The sequence below is a fragment of the Homo sapiens genome, chromosome 16 (genome assembly GCF_000001405.40).
Source record: "Homo sapiens chromosome 16, GRCh38.p14 Primary Assembly".
Taxonomy (NCBI): Eukaryota; Metazoa; Chordata; class Mammalia; order Primates; family Hominidae; genus Homo; species Homo sapiens.
Window position 1 is genome coordinate 9,211,938 of NC_000016.10, and position 6,614 is coordinate 9,218,551.

General features: G+C 49.3%; 2 annotated features.

Moving 5' to 3' along the window:
- Window positions 1,327-1,828: an enhancer, noted in NCBI's record as "H3K27ac hESC enhancer chr16:9307121-9307622 (GRCh37/hg19 assembly coordinates)". NCBI's record gives its function as "activates a minimal SCP1, AML or CMV promoter by ChIP-STARR-seq in primed H9 embryonic stem cells {active_cell/tissue: H9 hESC(primed)}" and the evidence as "EXISTENCE:reporter gene assay evidence [ECO:0000049][PMID:30033119]".
- Window positions 6,204-6,410: a silencer, noted in NCBI's record as "fragment chr16:9311998-9312204 (GRCh37/hg19 assembly coordinates)". NCBI's record gives its function as "represses an EF-1alpha promoter that drives an FKBP-Casp9 reporter gene in an ReSE screen in K562 erythroleukemia cells {active_cell/tissue: K562}" and the evidence as "EXISTENCE:reporter gene assay evidence [ECO:0000049][PMID:32094911]".

Below are 6,614 nucleotides of genomic sequence, written 5' to 3' on the forward strand. Positions count from 1 at the left end.
TAGACCACTGTGTCTCCTCATGTGCATGGCTTTTTTTTTTTTTTAATGTCATTGTCATTGTGATCATCCCAGAAGAGAAGCCAGACCTGCAAGGACACATCTGAGATGGTCTCTATGGATCCAACAATTTATTTGTCATCTTCAGGCCCCTGACAGAACACAGAATGGAGAGAAGGCCCAGATCTAATGCTGGGTGGAGGGAGGAGGAGGGTGGTAGGTGGGAGAAGAGAATGGTTTGATAATTCCTGCCCACCACCGATTAACTGCAAGAGCACAGGGATTTTACTTAATATCTCCACGTATCAGTTCTTCATCCACCATCCTGTGGAAAATTCCAAGTCCTGTCCTCATTCTCTGGATCTAGACACAGAGGCAGGGATAGAAAGGGGACCTTAAGAGTCACCAGACAGAGCCGGGAGGAGATTTCACATCGTGGTCCATGGTTCCTTCTCTAACCGCACTTCTGAGGTCTCTGCGGTGGGGACATTTGCTGTCATGGAATCCCAGCCATGGCCTGAGTGTGGCCAGCAAGTTCTTGTGATCAGCCAGGTCCTGAACATGGCTGGAGGGCAGGGGGAGCAGAAACAAGCACTGGGGACAGGTAAGGAAGCCTAGCTGTCCATGCCTTTCCTCCGGTGCTCTCAGAGAATAAAGGAACAAATAAAGAGAGAAAGGAATGAGAGGAGAGGGGATGATACGAAGAGGGGGGTGGAGAGAAAAGGAGAAACTGAGAAAGAATATTTCTTTCCTTGCTATGTTTTTTGGCTCTGTCTTATGGGAGAGAAGGGACCTGCCCTATGTCCCACAGCTGGGGAGCAGCAGACTCTGGACTGTGTCAACTGCATGGGCTTCAGTTTCCGGTGATGGCACCTGGTTATTGCTATTCTGTTCAGGAGGCTGGATGCAGCAGACTCTCATGGAAATGAATCCTGTAGACGTGATGAATTGCCCTCAGGGCTCAAAGCCACCAGCTGGGCAACCTCCAGTCCTGGTGCTGTGCTGGCTGAGGGACAGCAGCTTCCTATACGCGGCTCTTGGGGTGCAGAGATGGGGCAGTGGGAGGCAGGGCTGAGTAGCAAGGGACTGTCCTTGCTAGCTGCACCCTTCATGCCTGGTCTACCTTTCCGTGAAGCTGCCTGGAAGAGGAAATGAGAATCTAATGACATAAGAGTTCTGTTGGGGGGTTTGTCAGCCTCCTGCAGCTTGGTCACTGGTTGCAGGAATCCTGTGTCAGATAAGGGCAGATAGATTCTTTAATTGTCCTGGCAGCATGGAAGCCCACTGCCACGGGAGAAGTACAACCTTCCCTTCTAGCAGGCGCGAAGGGTTAGAAGCCAGCTGAGTGCCATGGGAGGAACAGGGATCTAGAGTCAGGCAGATGTGAGGCTGGGATCCCAGCTGTGCTGCCCTCCAGCTCTGCACATCCCTCTCTGAGTCCCGATTTCTTCACTTGCCAAGTGGGAATGATCATAGTAAAAGTGTATTTGCTGACATTTATGGAGTATTTGCTGTTCTGTGCGCTTTAGGGTATTAACTCTAATTTAATCCTCACAACAGCCACTTCTGGTTATCTGTGGCTGTGAAACTTAGTGGCTTAAAACCCCAGTGGGTCATTCTCTCCCACGCTTCTGTGGGTTGAGTGGGTTCAGGGGGGTGGTTCTGGCTTGGAGTCCCTCTTGCAGCTGTGGGTCAGTTGCAGCGGGGGTGGACTCATCCGAATACTCGGCAGAGCTGTACATCCCAGGGGTCGTCTTCATCCCTAGGTTCAGGGCCACAGGGCTCCCCGGCTTCTCTGTCAGCATGGGGCCTCATCCTTCAGGCCTCTCCGTGTGACTTGGGCTTCTCACAGTATGGGAAGCGTATGCATGTTCCTTTGCTGCTGTAACCAGTTTTCACGAATGGAGCAACTTAAAAAATGTGCATTTGTTATGTCAGAGTTCTGAAGGTCAGAAGACCAGGTACAGCCTGGCTCAGCTGTGTCCTCTGCTTACAGCCTCATGAGGCCAAAATCAGGGGGTCAGCAGGGCCACGTTCCATTTGTTGGCTCCAGGAATGAATTCACTTCCAGACTTGTTCAGGTTGTTGGCTGATTTCAGTTCCTTGTGATTGTAGGACTGAGGTGCCTGTTTCCAGCTGGGGGCTGGTCTTTGCTCCTAGAAGCTGTCTGCATTCCTTCTCATGGAGCCGATGCCCATGAATAGTGGCTCTTGGTATGTGGGTAGCATCTGTCCTACTCCCTGGCCTACCCCCTCTGCTGCAGCTCTCCTGTCCCTACTGAGTCAACTCAAGCTTGTCCTTTCAATCTCCATCTAAACATCACCTCTTCATGAAAGCCCTCCCTACCCTCTAATCTAGGTAGGTTTTCCATTCATGTTTTCTCTGCACAATGCTCATCTCCCTTTGCAACATCTCACCCTTTGGCATGATATCCAATTAATACCCATCTCCCCTTCCGGATTAGAAGCTTCAGGAGGGCAGGGCCTGTGTCCCCATTGTATCCCCAGTGCCTAGCTTAGCCCCAACCCACCATAGCCTCTCTCCTTTGCCCTCAAATAAATGATCAGCCTTGGCCAGGCATGGTGGCTCACGCCTGTAATCCCAGCACTTTGGGAGGCTGAAGTGGGTGGATCACTTGATGCCAGGAGTTTGAAACCAGTCTGGCCAATATAGTGCAACCCCATCTCTACTAAAAATACAAAAATTAGCTGGGTGTGGTGGCGGGCGCCTGTAGTCCCAGCTACTTGTGAGGCTGAGGCACAAGAATTGCTTGAACGCAGGAGGTGGAGGTTGCAGTGAGCCAAGATCGTACCAGTGCATTCCAGTCTGGGTGACAGAGCGAGACTCCATCTCAAAAAAAAAAATAAATAAAAAATTCAGCCACCATGGGCCTGATTGCTGTGAACCTGATGAACTACTGAGCTGTTTCTGAGCCCCAGAGGAAGAATGATCATGACGTGTATCTGCTGTCCCTGAACATGTCACCTCCCCCGCTGGGGTGACCCCTTAGGAAAAGGAATCTACTCATATGTGAGGGGTATCCGGTTTGCTGGGGCTGCTCTCGACCGCAATCAGTGTTCATCATCTGGGCATTTGTGGCATCCTAGCCGGGGAAGAGGTGCCCCAGATAGGTCCCAGGTAATGACTTGTGGCTGCTGTCGGTCGAGGGCAGGAAGGCATCCTGCTCCCTCATCCTGGGTGGGCATAATCTTGGCCCCACTTGGAGGCTGAAGGCAGGGATGTTGGCTTAGGGAGAGGACAGAGGGAAGGGGGGCGTTTTCATGTCAGCCTCTTGTCCCTTGCTAGGACTGAGTCTCAAACGGTGAGAGATGGCTGGGCGGGCTTTGTTCACTCACCCTGTCCCTGGGGGGATACTTGGGCCAATTGGTGAAGGCTCAGTTGACTCCACAGTACTCCTGAGACACACTTTCTAGGGACCATCTCTGCTTAATAATTGGCGATAATGACATTAGTTAGAACCAAATGTGTATTACCCGTTGGAAGATGTTATGCACGATTTATTTATTTATTTATTTATTTATTTATTTTTGAGACAGAGTTTCGCTCTGTCACCCAGGCTGGAGTGCAGTGTCGTGATCTCAGCTCACTGCAACCTCCATCTCCCCGTTTCAAGCGATCCTCCTGCCTCAGCCTCCCGAGTAGCTGGGATTACAGGCATAGCCACCACACCCAGCTAATTTTTGTATTTTTAGTAGAGACAGGGTTTCATCATGTTGGCCAGGCTGTTCTCGAACTCCTGACCTCAAGTGATCCGCCCGCCTCAGCCTCCCAAAGTGCTGGGATTACAGGCATGAGCCACCGTACCCAGCCTGGTGTGCAGGTTTTCTTGAAGCCCCTTTGGTAGTACTACACTTCAGTGTTTTAAAGCACCATCAGTCCTGGCTGGATCCTGACAAACCAGAGAGGTATTCAGGTTTCTGGGGACACATTCATTTCAGCCTCTTTTAGGCCAGCCTGGGAAATAGTCAAGAGGAGAGGAGAACTGGGTTCACATCCTGGCTCAGCCATTTCCCAGTTGTGTGGCCCTGGTCAGGCAACTTCATCCCTCTGAGACTCATCTTTCTCATCCGTAAAATGGGAACAATAACATTACCTGCCTCATATGTTAATTGTTAAGGTCAACTAAACTACACTACATTAAGTGAATGAAAGTGCTTAAGGGAGGATTCAGCCAACGTCAGACGCTGTGACTCTGTGCGTCCCTGTAGGTCCACTGCTCCCTGTCCTCCTGCTCTGTGCCCTCAGAGGCTGACCTGTATGAACCACATCAAAGGGCTCCCTTGATCTTAGGGCTTGGGTTGGGTTGGGCTGGGGAGCATTGTCAAGAGGTAGGAGTGAAGGAGCGAGGTCAAGATATTTCTTCTCTTTGCTCCCTCTTCGCAGGGCCGACTGGGGTCAGTCGCATTCCTTGACTGAGGGTCTTTGCTCCTGCTTTATGACCCTGCACTCACAGGTTTCTCTGTGTCCAGATTTTGATAATTGCTCCCTCCTCCTCACCCCTCCAGGCCTAAGGGGGTAACTGCTCCACTGCCACAAGCCTCAGGTTACTGCACTGTCCTTTGAGAATTTCCAACACCCTGCACATTTTTTCCTTTTAAATAATTCTTTATTCATCTCAGCTCAAGTTGGTCTCACCCCATTGGAGTGGCGAGCTAATTTCCTGCTGGGACCCTGACCGATCCAACCCTAATCCTTACTGTGGATGGTCCAATGAGTCTACTGAAGTTGACACAAGATTTTTCCATGATGTGTCCACCAGTGTTCTGTCTGGCTGGACCAAGGAGTTGGCCCAGTGTGACAGTTCAATTGAGGCATGACCTTCCCCAAATCAGGGTTAGGGGCCTTTCCTAAATAGTGATTAAACTGACTTTTGACTGGCACTCCCCTGGGGACCTTACTGGAGACCTGAGTTCTCTTAGGCTCTTAGGCTGTGTCCTACTAGGCCTTGTCCCTATAGGAAGGTCAAGGAGCAGACCAGGTTATTCCCAGGTGGTGAGATGGGATAAGAGCTCACAGTCAATGTAACTGATGTGAGATGGTATCTCATTATGGTTTTGGTTTGCATTTCTCTAATGGCCAGTGATAATGAGCATTTTTTCATGTGTTTTTTGCTGCATAAATGTCTTCTTTTGAGAAGATGTGGAGAAATAGGAACACTTTTACACTGTTGGTGGGACTGTAAACTAGTTCAACCATTGTGGAAGTCAGTGTGGCAATTTCTCAGGGATCTAGAACTAGAAATACCGTTTGACCCAGCCATCCCATTACTGGGTATATACCCAAAGGATTATAAATCATGCTGCTATAAAGACACATGCACACCTATGTTTATAGCGGCACTATTCAGAATAGCAAAGACTTGGAACCAACCTAAATGTCCAACAATGATAGACTGGGTTAAGAAAATGTGGCACATATACACCATGGAATACTATGCAGCCATAAAAAATGATGAGTTCATGTCCTTTGTAGGGGCATGGATGAAGCTGGAAACCATCATTCTCAGCAAACTATCACAAGGACAAAAAACCAAACACCGCATGTTCTCACTCATAGGTGGGAATTGAACAATGAGAACACATGGACACAGGAAGGGGAACATCACATACTGGGGACTGTTGTGGGGTGTAGTGGGGGATGGATAGCATTAGGAGATACACCTAATGCTAAATGACGAGTTAATGGGTGCAGCACACCAACATGGCACATGTATACATATGTAACAAACCTGCACCTTGTGCACATGTACCCTAAAACTTAAAGTATTTAAAAAAAAAAAAAAGAGCTCACAGTCTTAGCAGCAGTGGCAGGATTTTTGTATCTGACAGCCAACCTCCAACCACCTCCACTCAGCCCTGGAGAGATCTGATTAGTGAGGTGTAGAGGCTAAAGCACACTTAGCCTTAACTTAGCTAAAGCTTTCGACATATGGCTCTTCTTTTTTTTCTTTCTTTCTTTTTTTTTTTTGAGATAGTCTCACTCTGTCACCCAGGCTGGAGTGCAGTGGCACGATCTTGGCTCACTGCAACCTCTCTCTCCTGGATTCAAGCGATTCTCCTGCTTCAGCCTTGCAAGGAGCTGGGATTACAGGCACCCACCACCAAGCCCAGCTAATTTTTGTATATTTTAGTAGAGACAGAGTTTCACCATGTTGGCCAGGCTGGTCTCGAACTCCTAACCTCAGGTGATCCACCCGCCTCGGCCTCCCAAAGTGCTGGGATTACAGGCATGAGCCATCGAGCCCGGCCTGATATATGACTCTTAACATCCAGTTCTTGGTGTGATCTTGGGCTTGACATCTGACCACTCCCGCTTTTTGTTTAGTTCCCTGCCTTATAAAAAAATAAATGGGCCAGCCCCGGTGGCTCACACTTGTAATCCCAGCACTTTGGGAGGCTGGGGTGGGAGGATCACTCAAGTGCAGGAGTTGGAGGCCAGCCTGGAAAACATGGCAAGACCTGCACCTGCACCCCCCAACCCCAATCTCTACAAAAAAATTTAAATAAAATTGTCAGGACATGGTGATGTGCGTCTGTAGTCCCAGCTACTCAGGATGCTGAGGCAGAAGGATCACTTGAGTCTGGGAGGTTGATACT